General features: G+C 44.4%; 1 protein-coding gene across 2 annotated transcripts in view; it reads right to left on the bottom strand.

The window, feature by feature from the left end:
• Positions 1-17,641, bottom strand: part of LHFPL3 (LHFPL tetraspan subfamily member 3) — a 579,959-nt gene that overhangs the window by 86,525 nt on the left and 475,793 nt on the right. The gene's annotated exons all lie outside the window — the stretch shown is intronic.

Below are 17,641 nucleotides of genomic sequence, written 5' to 3'. Positions count from 1 at the left end.
GGTAATATTGTCACCAAATTCCAAGCTCCTCATGCTTTAGTAAATATTTAGCCCCTTCACTCTTGACATTTTCTTACTATATGCGGCCTGTTATTATCTCCATGTTACAAACTGGGGGAGCTCTCTAACACTTGTGGCAAATTCACTGACCTTTGATTACACTACTTAATCTATGTTTGCAAAGTGCATTTGTGCAGTTTATTGTAACTAAGTGAGGTTTCACTTGGAGGTGGGAGAATTGGTTATTTTACTCATTTCTCTGTGAACTCCTGTTTTTCCAAGTCTAGAAACTTTGACTGTGCTACTTTAGGCCTTTAAAGATGGCAAAACAAGGTTATAAAGCAGCATAGTGAGATGGTCACACTGTAGATTATGCTGAATTTTCCAAATTTGGTGTCCTAGCTCTTTCATGTTGCACGTAATGCCTTTAAAAGGGTCCGATCTTTGTCTTCTAGAACCTCTGAACCCACACAGTTCTGCCTCCTGGGAACTCAAAGATTTGGCTCTCTCTGAGAAGCAGTAGGGATAGGTAAATGTACTTGAGGGATAATGCAGGATTTCATTTCAGAATCAAGAGAATACTTCCTACCTCAGCCTTCACTTGACAGTGAATCTGCATGAAACCGGCTCTTGCCCACAGCTGCAAGTGCTTCTGAATCGGAACTCTTCACTTCCTTGCCTCTCCTCAGCAGAGGCAGACACAGCCCCTGCCACCCACGAGGAGGATGCTGTCAGCAGGGAACCCTTTGCTTGGAGTGACCCACACAGCCTGAGAGCAGGAGGATGCAGAGGCAGCCCACCCATGTCCTCGCCACTCATAGACACTTGTGAAAACCCATGAAATAGATTTTCTTTGGGACTCATTTCCTGTCACATTTATTAAAAAATTGAACACTACATAACGACATTTTTTTTAAAAGCAGAAAGCATGCAATAAAGATTAATCTAATTGCCGTGATGCTTTGAAGGTTTCATGTTGTAAATTAGCAGTACAGGCGTGACTTTGGGAGGCAGGCCTCTTGGAAGGCAGTTAAAGTTCCTAGGGGGAGGGGAAACGCAGTCCAAGCTTAAGCAGGAAACACTGAGGGTGTCTCTCTAGGCTCCTGTCTGGGACCCAATCCTAGAAAAGCTTGAAATTGATGTCAGGACAAACTGGATGAGGCGTTAACTGTGTTGGCGTTTGTTGGTAGTGGGCTTATTCCAAAGGAATGGAAGGCGTTTCTCTCCTCCTCTGCAGAGGATATAGCCAGGACCTTAGTCTAGAGGCCTCTGCTTCTTTGGTCTGGGGGGGTGGTTAAGGTGTCTTCCCAACCTATGTGCTCCCTGAGGCAGTGAAGGTCAGACTGAGAGTGAGGGGAGCTGCTTGATTGGAGGGAGAAATGAGTTCTTTGTGATACTGAGAGGATGCTGGTGTTGCAGGTTATGTACATGGTGGGCCTCTGCCTTGCTCATAAACTGTAGAAAGTTGGGCATGAGGTGGGCTGCTTGGGAGCTTCAGCAAAGAGCCCTGGAAACACCAATTCATCTGCCTCCTGATTTTGCCAAGGGCTTCAGCCTGGCCTGCAACCCTTGCCAACATAATCTCTGCCTCTGGTTTGACAAGGCATGGTTGGCTTATGAAAATGTATCCCAGGCATGCAGCTCACATCTCTTTGAATATCTTCCTTTTCCTAATCAGAACCCAGAGAAGCATTTCAGCTGCTCAGAGGCTGAGCAGAAGCACTGACACTTTAATCTGGAGCCATGGTACTTTATTAGCACTCTGCTCACCCTTTCATTCATTTGCTTTTCTTGCAGAAGAGGCTGCCTGTACAATTTTGTCACTGAGAATGATAAATGGGCTTGGCATTTCCCACTTTCTTTTTTTTGCATGGTCTGTGAATGCACGTGGATTTTCCAATTTTCAGATATAACATGTCCAGATGTGTATGAATGAGAAGGTGCAAATGTCCTGATGAGTTCAATTTTCCTGGAGAGATTTCTGCAATAATATAATCATGGAGCCCAAACTGTGAAACACACAAGGAAATAGAACAGAGACAGAGTTTTCTCTTCCTTAAAAAAGAGATCACAATCGGCTCGTTTTGTATATTGCTTTGATCGTATTTGCCCTTCTGTTGGGGCCAGGTGACAGTGAAGATCATTGTGGCAGCTGAAGTTTCTTTACACAGCCATGTGTGTCTCTGTAAAATTTGAAGCCTTGATAAATTGTCCATGTGCCTTCAAAAATGCAAGCTGTGGTGGTGCATCTGTAAATGTGGTGTGGAATCCCTGTTAAAGTACGCACATATCAGCAAGCTCCAATATAAAGCGACTGGAATCCCAAAAGGTCGTGATTACTTTCAAGCAAAGGACTTCCCTGTGAATCGCATTTAAAGTGATTAATGTGGCTGCTGTGACTTGGGGTACTAGTGCTGAAGCACATATACTTTATATTACAAGAGTGATGCAACTGCTGTTTTTTTGTTTTTGTTTTTGTTTTTTAAATGAGAGAAGAAGGGGAAAGGCACAGGCTCCCTACTGCAAAAACTTTTCTGCTGGGATATTGAGAAATAATTCAGAAACAAGGGTCAGAATTTTTGTGTGTAATCACATAGGAGGCTCTCGTGCAAGGATGAAGGTAAGTAATTGAGACAGCAGGTTTTTTTTTTTTTTTTTTCCAGATCTAAATGGGCAAGAGGAATGTATTCTTTTGGAGATGGGTGAAGAACAGCAGATGTTTGCATAGAACTGAACTGGTGAACCCTGGTGAATTCCTAGTAGTGACATGTTAATTGCGATGATTGTAAATAGGGAACATCTGTTTTAGAATTATTATTAGAAATGCAAGCACATTCCTATTGTTCATGTGATTTAATATATTTTTTTTAAAGCAGGATCAAGATGGAAGATTTTCAGTTGCATTTACAGGGATCAAATTAAGCTTATATTAAATCAAGCTGAGACTGATTTGGGCTTTGCCTAACTCTTGAAGGCATGCAAAATAAACATTATGAATGCCACAATAGGGGGCCATGATTTATATTCTCATAAAGTTCTATATAGCTATTTGTTTTATAGACAGTTTCTTCTGTGTAACAGACAGACGAGGAGAGAAAAGAATCTCATAGACTATGATGGCACTACCAGAGATTAAAAAAGAGGAGGAAACCCCAAAACAAGCAAATAGTTAAAGATTAAATCTCAAAGGTGTATTGGGGCTCCTTTTTTTTTAATTTTAGCATTTGAGTGAGTGAGAGAGAGAGAGAGAGAGAGAAAGGAGAAAGGGCTTATTAAAACAAACAAGCCAACAAAATCTCAAACCCAACACATTAGTGAAACGTGGAAACAACTCTGTTTTTCTGGCTTTGCCCGAGTTTCCCCTCTCTCAGTACTTTTGAACATCTGAAATTTAGGTTATTGGTTATTTTACTTATAAACTTGAGTCCATAATGATATGTTTACCCCAGGGTCAATTTCAAAAGAATCTTAATGGGGTGAAGCATAAAACTGAAACTGTAATAATGGAAATTAAAACACCAAGAAGATAGATATTTGGCACGATCTCTGCTCACTGCAACCTCCGCCTCCCAGGTTCAAGCGATTTTCCTGTCTCAGCCTCCCGAGTAGTTGGGACTACAGGTACGTGCCTGTTTTTTTTTTTTTTTTTAATGAGAGAAGTGCCCAAGCCAGTTGCCTTAAAGTCAGTTGCCTTAGGTGGGCAAAGAATTCCACAAACAAGATTAGACTTTAGAGACAACTTCCTGCCCATGTTGATTGTGACAATTTCAATAGGTTACCTAGAGGGTGGTAAAGAGACACTTCTTGAAACTGATAGAAAATAAAATAGAACAGGAAAATGAACCACCATATTTCTCTGAAGCATTTAAGTACACTCATTCCTAAGAGCTTTGAAATAAACTAGATGATCCTTGCTGGCTCAATAAATCCTTCCGATTCCTCTTACTTCTCTTGCTTGCTCTAAGTCAGCACTGCCCAAGAGCCCTTTGTGTGACGGAAATGTTCTGTATCTGTGCTGTCCAATACGGTAGACACTAGTCACGTGTACCTATGGAGCACTTGAAATGTAGCTAGTGCAACTACATTGGAAATGAATGGTACTTAATTTTAATTAACCTACAATTAAATAGCCAACAGAAGTCCTGGTGCTAGGTATCGGAATAGTGTTTGCCTAAAGACTTTATGATCAGTCAGCAATGGGAGGATTTCAAAAGACAGTTGATGATGTGGTATGAGGGAGGGACTGTGTGGAGAAGGAGGGTATCATGGTGTGGCCATGGGGGTTTGTATGGGATTAGAATCAGTGAAGTAGTACTGTCTGAGGGAGGAGGCTTCTGTGGTCCTGTACCTAGAATTGTCAATCGTCAAATCAGGAAAGGCCCCTGAGTTCCCAGGGATGTGAGGGCCTCAGGGCTCTATGATGAAGCATAGATGTTGTTTTTGTCCTCAGCTATCTACCAGTGTGAGAGAGATGAACAAAGTAAAGAGTATGCTATGGACCTAAACACAATCAAATAAGCGTTTAGGAGACTTGCAAAAGGATGAATGCCAGAGACTGTATTGAAGGGGAAGGTTGTTTAAAGATGTGGTGTTTACATGAGAAAACTTCCCAATGAACAAGAAAACCCTGCTGTTTTCTGGGCTGGGTCAAGGCAGCAGTTTGAGAAGCTGAATTAGATGAGGAGAAAAAGGGAGGAGGCCCTTGTGGGCTGAATGAAATGGGGTGAGGTTGAAAAAAATCTGAGGTTGAGCCTTTGCTCAACACATAAATATTGACTGCCCAGCACTGGATAGGCACAATATGGGCACACAGGATACTGGACAGGGTTTGCCCTCAGGGAAATTATAACGAAGACTGGCAACGTAGCCCGCGCTGAGCAAAGATAAATAGCAATACCAAGGAATACTCCAATAAAGTGTGTAGATAGGCAGAGGCAGGGAGAGATCCTTGTGGGCTAGGAAGGCCAGGGTGTGTGGGATGGGCCTTGAAGAATTTGCCTGGGTGGAAAGAGGGGGAGAAGCAAAGAAGGTTTGCAGGGGAGCCCCAGAATGACTGGAAGAGCTAGCAGTTCAGAAGTTAAGGTGGTCACAGTCAGAAGTGTGTGCTTAACCCAGAGGATTATGGAAACCCAGAAGACACAAGGTTCATGAGGCAGGCTTGGAAAATGCATTTTCTTGACAAATACAATGGAGTTAAAGCAGCCCGAGGCTAGGAGGCCAGCAGGGAGGAGTTAAGTCAGGCAAGGTGAGATGGTTCCACACCTGGGCAAAGGCTGTTTAGACCTGAGCTCTTTGCCACGTTGAGTGGCCTGAAAATGAAACTGCTCAGCTCTGACAGCCACTGTGTGCCTTTGAAAGCAGGATCTGAAGTTCACTTTAAAAGTGAGTTGCTCCCAAACCACTGCAGAAATTTCAGATGGGGCTTAAGAGACTAAAGCCAACATCTCCTTTATGCAACTGCTGATAGTAATTGAAAGAAGGATTCTGAAACCATGGTTACCATAGAGGACTAAAATTAAGACCAAAGGTGAGGATTTAGAATCCAAGAAAATAGAATGGGTTCAAGGTAGAGCTCACACTTATGCTTTGTATAAACTATCTGATTATCTTTGGTAAATGCATCCTTTTATGAAGCAATCTCAGGAGCCAGCATAGTGGTTCTTGCATCCCTGAAGCTTAGTGCAGAGCCTCAAATCCTGGGTAGCAGGATGGAATCCTGCTAAGCTAAAAGGAAACTAGGTTTCTGTAATAGGTATGAGATTTTTAGATATGATTTTTACCTAGATTGATTCTTTTTGCCCCAAGTGGGCCTAATTATGGAAAAAGCTTGGAATCTACTGGCAAATGCTGTTGCTGTAAAACAACAACAACGACAGCATTTTTTTCACAGGGCGCAGTTCTTCAAGTTGTTCTTTTGGGATGGGATCTTCATCTTGAACTCATAATGAAGGTCAAGGCTGCTGCAGAGTGTCCTAGAATAGGTGACAGAAAGCACACAATGAGGCTAATTCTCATTGTGCCAAGGGGTGCTGGTCTATATGGAATGTGGTGGTCAGCTACAGGAAGGAGGGGTTTGGTCTGTCATTCTGAATGAGCAAAGCAGTTCCATGCATGAATCCCTCATTCTTCAAAGGGGAAAGGGGGAGGGACCTTGAGAATTCCTACCTTTGAGCTTCTTTGCCCTAGTACTCACACGAGGCAGTTCACAACTTTCCTGTGTCTCCCAATAAGCCATGTGTGCAGCCTGCCATGAGATGACCAGATCCAGAAGAGAATCCAGGGCATGAGACTCTACTGTGTGGGGTGGGGTGGTGGTAGGCACAGGGGAGATCTGGGCTGACTTAAAAGAAAGGGCTATCTGAGAGAGAAGTGGCATTTAGTTAGAACCTCTGAACGGAGGAGAAAAAGGTGGAACTGGAAGAATTCTTTGTCCCTTTGGGTAAATCATTGTAATGAAAAACTTAAAATGTACAGATTTAGGTTCCCCCATATCACTGCTCAAGTGGTCTTCTTATCTTTTTAAGAATTTGATTTTTGAAATAAGACACACATTCAGAAGAGTGCACAAAATACAAAGGCACAGTTTAACACAGAATTATAAAGTGAGCACTGTGTAACCGCCAGCCAGCTCAAGAAATAGGACATTGCCAGTATCCTGGAAACCCCACATGTCCCTCCCCAGCCATATGCCCTTCTCCTGCTGGGGGTAATCACTATTCACTGACTTGATGGCAGCAGCAGGCCGTCTGGAGCTGCCCCTGCCATCATGCCGGCTGCAGCAGGGAGGCGGGGTGGGGGCTGTTCGCTCCATGGAGCCAGCAAGAGCTGGGACAAGTGGGAGCCCCACCCCTTCTAAGTTGGGGTGGGAGCTCCCTGGGTGGCTCTGTAGCTGTGGAAGCCATGGCTATGGACCCATGCATCCTCGTGCTCTCGGGGTTGGGGGGCAGGCGGGAGTCCCACTTTCCTGGGCATAGCTGCAGCCACCCAAACCATGGCTGCAGACCTGGGCCTCCTGCTCCATAGAGCAGGTGGGAGCCCAGGCGCAGCTGCAGCTGCCCCAAACTGCAGCTATGGACCCAGGCATCCCTGCACTACTGGGGGTCTGGGAAGGCACCCCTGCCCTTGCAGGCTTGAAAGTGCCTGCTCCCGCCGCCTGGTTTCTCCCTGCTGTCGGCACCTGCTCTGATCTCAGAGTAAAGTCAGGACCCAGCCCGGCCACTGCCGCAGCCCAGTCGAGCGTGCACACACTTGGGGCAGTGCTGACACGCCAGCACCCTGCTGCATCTGCCCCCTCTGGAATTTGGGCACTGACGAGCATAGGAGGAAAGCTGAGGGTGAGATGAGGGAAGCTTGGTGCTGACCTATAGGTGCCGCTTGGCACCTATAGCCTGGATGTCATGAAAGGCAGAGGGAGGCAGACAGGTTCCTGGGTGGAACGGGGCAGGTCCCCAGTGAGGCCCCACCTTCAGGCCAGGGAGGACCTGAAGGCTGGGAGTCAGGCTGCCAGTTCCGTGGACCTGAGTAGAAACTTGTAGTGCCTTTTCTGGGTGGGACCAATCAGCATGCACTTCTTCCCCTTTGAGGCCCTTAAAAGCTCTGGGATCAGCCAGAGCTGAGCAGATGTCAGATGATCAGCTGCAAAGAGGAGCAACCCACTCCAGGGCCTCCTCTCTGCTCAGAGCTGCAGAGACGATGGAGAGATGATAGGGAGATGATGAGTCGACCAGGTGCAGAGAGGAGCCACCCACTCTAGGGCTTCCTCCACTGCTGAGAGCTGTGCAGATGATGGGACAACCAGCTGCAGAGAGGAGCTACCCTCTCTGCTGATAGCTGAACACTTGTTGGGATGACTTGCCTAGCAGAGAGGAGCTACCCTCTGCTAGGAGCCGAACACTTATCAGGACACCATGGCTGTGGAAAGGAGCTGCTCCCTGCAGGCATCCTCTGAGCTGTTCTATTGCTCAGTAAAGCTCCTCTTCATCTTGCTCACCCTCCACTTGTCTGCATACCTCATTCTTTCTGGTTGCAGGACAAGAACTTGGGACCCACTGAATGGTGAGGCTAAAAGAGCTGTAACACAAACAGGGCTGAGACATGCCTCTTGCTTCCTATGTTGCGGGTGAAGAGAAGGAAAGAAGAGCTGTGGTCCTTTGGGGAACCCAAACCTGGGAGCTCCCCAAGTCAGGGCTATGACTCCTTCTTTGAGGCCCTGCAATTCCTGGCATCTCCAAGCTTTCAGGCACCACCGTGTTCTCTGATGCCAGCTGTGGAAGCTGCTTGTGGGTTTCTCCTCTTTGCAGCTGATCATCTGACATCTGCTGGTCTGGCCACAGCCTCATAGAAAGCTGGCACCTGTGCTGGAACCTGGAGTTGCCCTCCCTGCTGCAGCAGCCAGCATGTCTGACTGTGCACAGTGGCTGGACCCTACACTCACTCACACACCTCTCGCCATTCCATGCCTGACTCACCCTTAGCAGGCATGGGACCCAGGCTAGTAGCATGAACCCAGCACAGCCTGCCAGGCCAAGTGGGTGAAACAAGCCCAGTGGGCACAAGCAAAACTCAGGCAAAGGTGCCACTAGCCACAGAGTTTTCCGACCAGAAAAATGGTACCCCAAAGATCCCATAACACTTTTATGACCATCACTTCCCTGGCTTTCTTTTTGAGGTTACCAGCTATTTACATGACCCAACAATATGCTAAGTTCAATTTTTGATCTTAGAGTAATACTGTACGTATTCTTTATTTTTACTTTTTTGGGACAGGATCTCACTCTGTTTCCCAGGCCGGAGTGCAGTGGTGCCATCATGTCTCACTGCAGCCTTGACCTTCTGGGCTCAAGTGATCCTCCCACCTCAGCCTCCCCAGTAGCTGGCACCACAGTTGTGCACTCTCACACCCATCTAATTTTTTTTTCTCCCCGAGATGAAGTCTTGCTCTGTTGCCTAGCCTGGAGTGCAGTGGCATGATCTCGGCTCACTGCAACCTCCGCCTCCTGGGTTCAAGCAATTCTCCTGCCTCAGCCCCCCTGACTTGGTGGGATTACAGGTGTGAGCCACCACATCCAGCTATTTTTTTGTATTTTTAGTAGAGAAGGGGTTTCACCATGTTGGCCAGGCTGGTCTTGAACTCCTTACCTTGTGACCTGCCCACCTCGGCCTCCCAAAGTGCTGGGATTACAGACATGAGCCACTGCGCCTGGCCTTTTTTTTTTTTTTTTTTTTTTTTTTTTGAGATGGAGTCTTGCTCTGTCACCCAGGCTGGAGTGCAGTGGTGCGATCTTCGCTCATTGTGACCTCTGCTTCCTGGGTTCAAGTGATTCTCCTGCCTCAGTCTCCTGAGTAGCTAGGATTACAGGTGCCTGACACCTCGCCTGGCTAATTTTTGTAATTTTTTTTAGTAGAGATGGGGTCTCTCTATGTTGGCCAGGCTGGTCTTGAACTCCTGACCTCAAACGATCTGCCCAGTTATGCCTTCCAAAGTGCTGGGATTACAGGCATGAGCCACCTGGCTACGTCTAATTAAAAAAAAAATTTTTTTTTGTAGACATGGGGGTCTCATTATGTTGCCTAGGCTGGTGTAGAGATTCTTTTATGTTTCCCTTCTTTCACTCAGCATTGTACATTGTAAGGTTCATCCATGTTGTTGTAGATAGTTGTGGTTCTTTCATTTCCCTTGCTGTATAGATTTCCATTGCATGACTATTCCACAATTTATTCATCCAGTCTACTAGGAATGGCCATTTGGGCATTGCTCTTTTCTCTTTGAGCTCATCGTTTTCTCAGCAGCTGCTGGCTCTCTTTCAGCAATGGTCACGCCAGCAAATTACTGAATTGAAGTTCAGATGGAGACTTTGTGGACTGTGATGAAGACTGGTCACAGAGAAGGTGTTATTGATCACTTTCCAAGTAAGACAGCATTGACAACAAACAGAAAGGCTCATGGTGTCTCAGACACCAAGAAAAGCCCTGAGTTCTACCTTGGTAACTCTTGAATTTTCACTTGTTTCAATTTCATCAGCATTTGAGAAATAATTCTTTGTATTATTGCATTCAGGTTAACAAATTATCAAATAATATTTTAAATCTTTTTTGTTGGGGGGACACATTAATTCAGCAGACTTACTTTGCAAATCCTTCAGTGTTGTGTGCATTCTTTAAAACAGCTTTCTCTCATAATGACATAATCAGCTAGAGGTGACAGCAATAAATGTCTTCACATTATTTCAGGTTTAGCCTTCAAAATGAGAATGAACTAAAAGTGGAAAGAACTTTAATATATGCATTCATTTATGCTGGCATTGACAAAGACTGATGCTTAGCATCAGCATGTCCTCTGTCATAATAATAATAATTGCTAATGATTATCACAACCACGGCAACAACATGCTGTCATCTGGATATGAAATGATGCTGCTAATCCAGAGTCAGTAGACTATCTTTTTTGAGCTTTTTTTTCCCTTCTAGGATTGGGGATATATGTATGCTCATCCATCCTTGCTCTCTTGACTGACCTCCATTAGGAATCTCACTTAGAGCTAGTCATGGTGGCCCATGCCTGCAATCCCAACACTTTGGGAGGCAGAGGCAGGATGATAATTTGAGCCCAGGAGTTCAAGATCAGCCTGGGAAACTTGGTGAGACCTCATCTCTACAAAAAAATAAAATTAAAAAATTAGCCAGGCACAGTGGTGAGGACCTGTAGTTCCAGCTACTAGGGAGGCTGAGGTGGGAGGATGGGTTGAGCCTGGGAGGTTGAGGCTACAGTAAGTCATGAATGCGCCACTGCACTCCCTCCTGGGAGACAGAGGGAGACCCTGTGTCAAAGAAAGAAAAGAAAAGAAAAGAAAAGAAAAGAAAAGAAAAGAAAGAAAGAAAGAAAGAAAAAGAAAGAAAGGAAGGAAAGAGAGAGAGAAAGAGAGAGAAAGAAAGAGATCTCATTTTAGGCAGGTTGCCTTTGACCAGATTTTATTCTGACTCTAACCTAAAGCCTAAGACAGTTCTAACACATCTGGAGCTATTCCTGGACCACCTGATAAGAGAGAAGCTATAAGGGAAGGACAGAGCATTAATCCTGAGCTGCCAGTTTATTTTGGCATCTACAGTGACAACAACCATAAAATGTGTCTTAATTAAACACCATAGAGTGATAAAAAAGAAATGATTTCCTTGAATGTTTTCCTGGTGGAAAACAATTTGGTCAAGGATTTCTCTTCAAGCTCTGACCTACTTCTGCCTACTTGAAATCTTCACTTGAGTACCTTGTTGGTTCCTCCAGCTTCAATATATTCCAAAACTAGAATTGTCATGTGTCTGGTCTGCCAAATACAAGCTATGTTGTCCCAATAGCACTAATAACACCTCCTTTTATTTCTGAACATGTGCCTGTTTGGACAAAAAATGATATGGGCATCCTACCCCAAAGAAACACATGCCTTTCCTCTCCTGACTTCCCTCCACATCCCCGAGCTTGCTACCCCACTGATGCCCCCTTTCTCAGTTACTGCACCATCATTCTCCCTGTGGCTCAAAGTACAGCGGGAGAATGACCCTCTCTCCTCAGTTCTTGTGAGTTCTACCTCTGAAACCTCTCCAGCCAAATGCTTCTCTCCAGTTGCCTGCCACATATACCATCACCTCTTGCTTGGGCTATTCCTTGCAGCCTTTCCCCCGGTTCCTCTGCCTCTAATCTTGCTTTTTCAATTTGATTTCCACCCTTCTGAGCCACAGTCTGATCATGCCAACCCTGCCTAAATCCCTGCAATGGCTTCTCATTGCCCTTGGATGAAGTCCGGGGCCCACAGAGCCCATCACGGCTAGCCTCTGGCTACTACCTTTGGCACTCCTCATGTTATCTTTTCCCTTCTAGGCACTAAGAACTTCAGGTGTTAGGAAGCACTGTGCCCATGCTCTCTCTGAGTCACTGAACATACAATTCCCCTGGTCTGACATATTTCTCTGTTCAACTGGCTTACTCCTTCAGATTTTAGCTTAGTTGTTGCTTCCTCCAAGAAGCTTTGCATAACCCATTTAGACTAAATTCAGTGTTCCTGCCTGGTACAGCCTGCATTTGCATCTTCCTTATTGCAGCACTTACCACAATTTATTCTACTGCTTTCTTATAGACTATATGCTCTGAATGGGTGGGAACTATGTCCATCTCACTCATTATTGTACCCCAGCACCTGGCTCTGTGCATAGCATATCCTTGGTGCTCAAAAACGATTCATTAACTAAATGACTAAATGGCTAACACTCAATCCAGGGTATCTGAGCTACAGTACAATGAGCTTCCTCTGTGCTGTATGGGTAAGAGTCTTCTCTTGCTTTCCATAATAAACTTTTTAAGCCATTCATTTGGTACTATATATATTATAAAAATCGTATGTTATATGATACAAAATTATTTATAGAAATACTATTTATCAATAATTGAAAATTAAAGGTGCTGTTATTGTGAGAGTGCTAGTAATAGAATTTAAGAAAAAACATGTCAAAAATTAGTAAATACAACTGTCCTTGGATAGGGGCTTTGGGATTTTTCCTAATAGAAAATCTGTCCTGTATCCAGGTTGAGTGCCTCAAAGGCAGAACGTGGATGGTCACTTTAGAATGCACTGCAACCTTATCTGCTCTCCTAAGTAGAAATTGGAAAGAGCTTTTCACTTCAGCACATGTACTAAGAAAAGAATCTCAAGGCATATGTACCACCCCTGCCTGTCTCAGCAACCTGACATTTAGGAAAAGGATGTTAAAGATCTATAAACTTCTGAATAGCTCCAGGCTAAAATATCTGTACCTTATGCTTGTTCTTTAAACTCTTGTCAAGAGGGTCCAAGATCCGGCTGGGCACGCGGGCTCACGCCTGTAATCCTAGCACTTTAGGAGGCCAAGGTGGGCGATCACTTGAGGACAGGAGTTCAAGACCAGCCTGATCAACATGGTGAAACCCCGTCTCTACTAAAAATACAAAAATTAGCTGGGCCTGGTGGCACCACCTGTAATCCCAGCTACCCAGGAAGCTGAGGGAGGAGAATTGCTTAAACCCAGGAGATGGAGGTTGTAGTGAGCCAAGATTGTGCCACTGCACTCCAGCCTGGTTTCAGAGCTAGACTCCACCTAAAAAAAAAAAAAAAAAAAAAAAAAGGATCTATCATCTATGGTGTTGGGGTGAAAGGGCAGAAAAGGACCAAACAGTGATTAATGAAATAAGTGCTTTGTTGGGTATTACCCTAAAATCAAGAGATGTCTTAATGGTAATAATCTTTGTTTTTGTTATTTACCTGTTAGACTCACCGGCCTTAGAGTATCTAATAAACATTGGCTTGCGTTGTGTGTAATTACTACAAGTTGATGGAATCACACACTAATAGAACGGAAAGACCAAAGACTTACCTCTCAATATCCAAACTCCTGCCACCCAGACCTTTTGCCTTGAGTTTCTGTCTTTTTCACCTCTTCTCCTCCAGTTTTAGAGAGTTTCCAACATGTAGTGGAAAGAGTATTGCTTTTGGAGTCAGTAAGCCCACAAAATACTTATTGCGCCGCAGCTAGTCACCAGGCACAATTCCAGTGCTGGGCCCTAAGTAGGCCAGTCACAGAGACATAGGTTCAAATCCCAGCCCTGACAGTTTCTAGCTGAATGACCTCAGGCAATGTAGTCTCTCCAGCCACCAATGAAATGGGTAGTATTTTTGAAATGAGATTAATAATACTTCTTCCATACTGGAAGTGGGGTTGGTGGGTTCAATTGGAAAAATGAATACAAAGTAAGAGTGTGACAGTGTTTTGACATAGCTAGCAGGTGCTTGATAAATGGTGCCATTTAAAATAACCTGGGCATTTCAGTTTCTGAAGGAAGTGGGCATAGTTTGCGATTCTGTGCCTCCTCATCTTGATCAGAGGAAGAGTGTGGCTGATGGGGGAGAAGAGTAGGTTGAGAGTCAAATACTGTTACTTAAATCCCAGGCACGGCTGTAATGTGAACGTATCATGCCACCTCTCCCTCTTCAGCCGAGATGGAGTATAGTCCTGGCCAGTGAAACTGTGTTTCAGACTGCCTCACTGCAAATAAACACTCCCGTTGAATGCACAAAGGGGCCAGGAACTATGATTTCTTCTAAAGAATGTCCATCTGTGATTAACGACCAGTTGTCTACCAATGCATTCAATAAGGACATTCAGAAGCTTCAATCATGAGTGTGCTTTAGACGTTCAGTGAGTGGTTGGATGGAGGGAGTACAAAGATAGAAAAGACACATCTTGTGGTGACTGTTTACATCTTTTGTATGTCACAGAGGGGAGCCAGACTCAGTTAATTCATTCTCTTCTTCCTGCTGCTGCTCCTTCTCTTCCCCTTCTTTTCTGCGACTTCATCACTATCATCATCAATAGTAGCAGCAGCATTAACTCTTACTGAGAACTTGTTATGGTACAGGCATTGGGCTAAATAACACCTTTATGTGAGTTTGAGAAGCCTGTGTATCTCTTGTCAACCCGAAATTCAGAAGAGGATTTTGAACTGGAAATAATACTTTGAGAGTTGGAGTCGTATACATTTTCTAGGGCTGCTGTAACAAAGTACCACAAACGGTGTGGCTTAAACAACTGAAATTTATCGTCTAACAGTTCTGCAGACTAGAAGTCCAGGATCGAGGTGTCGGCAGGATTGATTCCTTCTGGTGGCTGTGAGGAAGAATCTCTTCCATGCCTGTCCTCTGGCTTCTGTGGTTTGCTGGCACTCTCTGGCATTCCTTGGCTTGTGGAAACATCGCCCCAACCTCTTCTCTGCCTTCATCTTCACATGGTGCTCTCTCTGTGCATGTCTGTCTGTGTATCCAAATTTCCCCCTAGACTGTTAGGACACCAGTCATATTAGACTGAGGCCCACCCTCATGACCTACTTTAATTTTGATTACCTCCATGAGGACTTTGTTTCCAAATAAAATTACATTCTGAGGTACAGGGGGTTAGGACTCTAATACACACACACACACACACACACACACACACACACACACACACATATATATTTTGGTGGGGCACAATTCAACCCCCAACAGGGTCATAGGAATAAATGAAATTATTAGGAAGAACACATAGATGGAAGAGAGGACTGAGAAAAAGAGGATTTCCAAGAGTATTGTTTAATGCCCGAAAGGTATTATGAGTAAAATGAAGCCATGGCTCCAGCAGCAAGGAGAGTGAGGGAAAGTGCCTGATCTCAGGTGTGGTCCACAGCAAGACTTTGTTGGGTTCCCTTTGATCATTTCATGACCCAGCCTCACAGGGGCTTGGAAATATTTTGTTCACAACTGAATGAAGGCAAAGGATTTCCTTGCACTAAAAAATAATTAATCTTCATTCTAGAATTGTCAACAGAATTTAATCAATTCAGGATTTTTTTTTTCATGTTGAAAACACTCAAAGAACATAATGGACATTCATCCTAAAAAGATCCTAAGAGTTCTTCATTTTAGTCAACCCTCAAGAGAAAATGTTTACAGTCACAAAGACAGCATGTGTCATTACTGGAAAGAGAACTTCAACTCTGTTTCCCAGAATCTAAAACTCCTATTTGTAATGAAGACAACTTTGGGGTTCAATGCAATCCCTTTATTGGTTTAGAAATCTGCAGAGATCAAGAACAGTTTAAGGGTTTCTAGAATAAACTCTGGTAGAAAAATTTCCCCTAACAGATTGAGTTTTATCTTGAATTAATAATTCAAAAGACATAATACATCTCTAAATAATCTATGAATAACTTAGTCCTGAACTAATTGAAACCTAAGTATGAATGAAAGCATTATGCTTTGTGGCATATACTTTCCCAAATGACCTAAATGTCAGTTAGATAAAGATGAGTGAGCTTCCCTCCAATCTTGTTCTCTGTCTGAAAACTTGTATGAGCCACAGCCATGTGACAGACAGAACTGTTTCTTTACCAAAGACTGTCGTAGTTCCTGCATTGTCAGTCGTACGCACTAAAACACGGCCTGCAGCAGGCTTTAATTACCATAAATGCACCACCTGTCTTCTTTTTAGTGCTTAATCATGAAACGTATCATGGTTTACAGTGCAATGTGTTTGAAATACTATACTGAGCTGTGGAATCACAGAATCCACAGAGGAAGAGAGCCCAGGGTTCAGACAAAGCGATGTGGCTAGGGTTAACCTAGTAAATCCTATTCCCTGAGGGCTGTTCTAGAGGGATCCAGACTAAAAACTGTAGATGGTATGAGAAGAGAGGGGTTTGGGATAAGCCTAAAAAGCCCCATAAGAAAGCATAAATCTGACTGTCATGTAGGATTATGGCTCTCCTAAGAGCTGGGAGACTGTGGAGGCTGACTGAAGGAAAGGCTTTGTGCTTTGGTGGCTGGAAGCTTTTGTACAGCTCTGTGAAGCCTCCTTTAGTGCAACTGCAGTCTGGGCTCTATGGGGCTGCAGCTGTGCCACCCTGGAAGGGGTGAACGAAGCAGGGGAATAGGAAGGAACTGAAGACAGAAAGAAGGCTGATGTGGGACCATGTAGTCAACTCTGGCCATTCACGGCAACTTCCAGATAGGAGAGGACCTCAAATTGTAACAGGTGACAACATCACTACATTGCTACAGATAGTTGTCATTGGCCATTAACAAGGACTACACATTCATTTGAGTCGCATCTCTTTCAGGAAGCAATTATTTTGGGGTCCAAAATGCTTGTATACCCTTTAGTTCTGCACCTTCATATTATGTTAACTAGTACTCCCCTAAGTAGTTGAACTTAAGGGATGCTAAGAAGGGCCCCAGATATCGTCAATGAAACAATGTCCTTTCTTTTGGGTTAAGTCCTGAGGAATCTGTGATACTTAGCCCAGTCAGATGGTTTCTCTGAAAGGTAAATGGAAGTCAGCACACGGAGAAGTGAGGGGATACAAGAGGAGAAGGAAGCACTAGGCCTTTCCCAGGGCATCTGAGCCTATGGGGGCCCCTGAGGGGAGCCCTCTGGCTGCTCCAGATTGGCACTGGGTGCTGGCTGGTGGGAGTGAAGTAGATCTGGGAGAGATTCTAAAAGGGGTGTGGGAGCAGAAAAGGAAGTGCGCTAGTCATCTATTATTGTATAACAGTATTACCACAAACCTCGTGGCTTAGAACAGCCCACATTTGTTATCTCAGTTTCTAGGTCAGGAGTTGGACATGGCTGGATCCATTGTCTCAATATCTCTCACAAGAATGCAATCAAGATATTGGTCAGGGCTGATTTCTCATCTGAAAGCCTGACTAGGAAATGATCCATTTTCATGTAGTAGTTAGCTAAATTCAGTACTTTGAGAGCTACTGCATTGAGGACCTCAGTTTTTAGCTGGCAGCCATCCTCAGTTTCTTGCCATGTGGGCCTCTCCCAACATGGCAGCTTGCTTCATCAAAGCATGCAAGCTGAGAAGGCAATAGAGAGAGTTTGGTAGGAAGAAGGAAATCACAATCTTATGTAACTTAATCGTGGAAGTGACATCTCATCCCTTTTGACATATTCTATTGGTTAAAAGCATGTTACAAAGTCTTGCCCACCCTCAAGGGTGAAGAGCATTACAAAAGGGCAGAACACCAGGAGGTGGAGATCACTGGGGGTCATCTAGAGTTTGCCCATCACGTGGAAGAAA

Source organism: Homo sapiens, chromosome 7, assembly GCF_000001405.40.
Source record: "Homo sapiens chromosome 7, GRCh38.p14 Primary Assembly".
NCBI lineage: Eukaryota > Metazoa > Chordata > Mammalia > Primates > Hominidae > Homo > Homo sapiens.
Note: the sequence above shows the minus strand (reverse complement) of the source record. Positions and strands in the feature narration are given on the sequence as shown.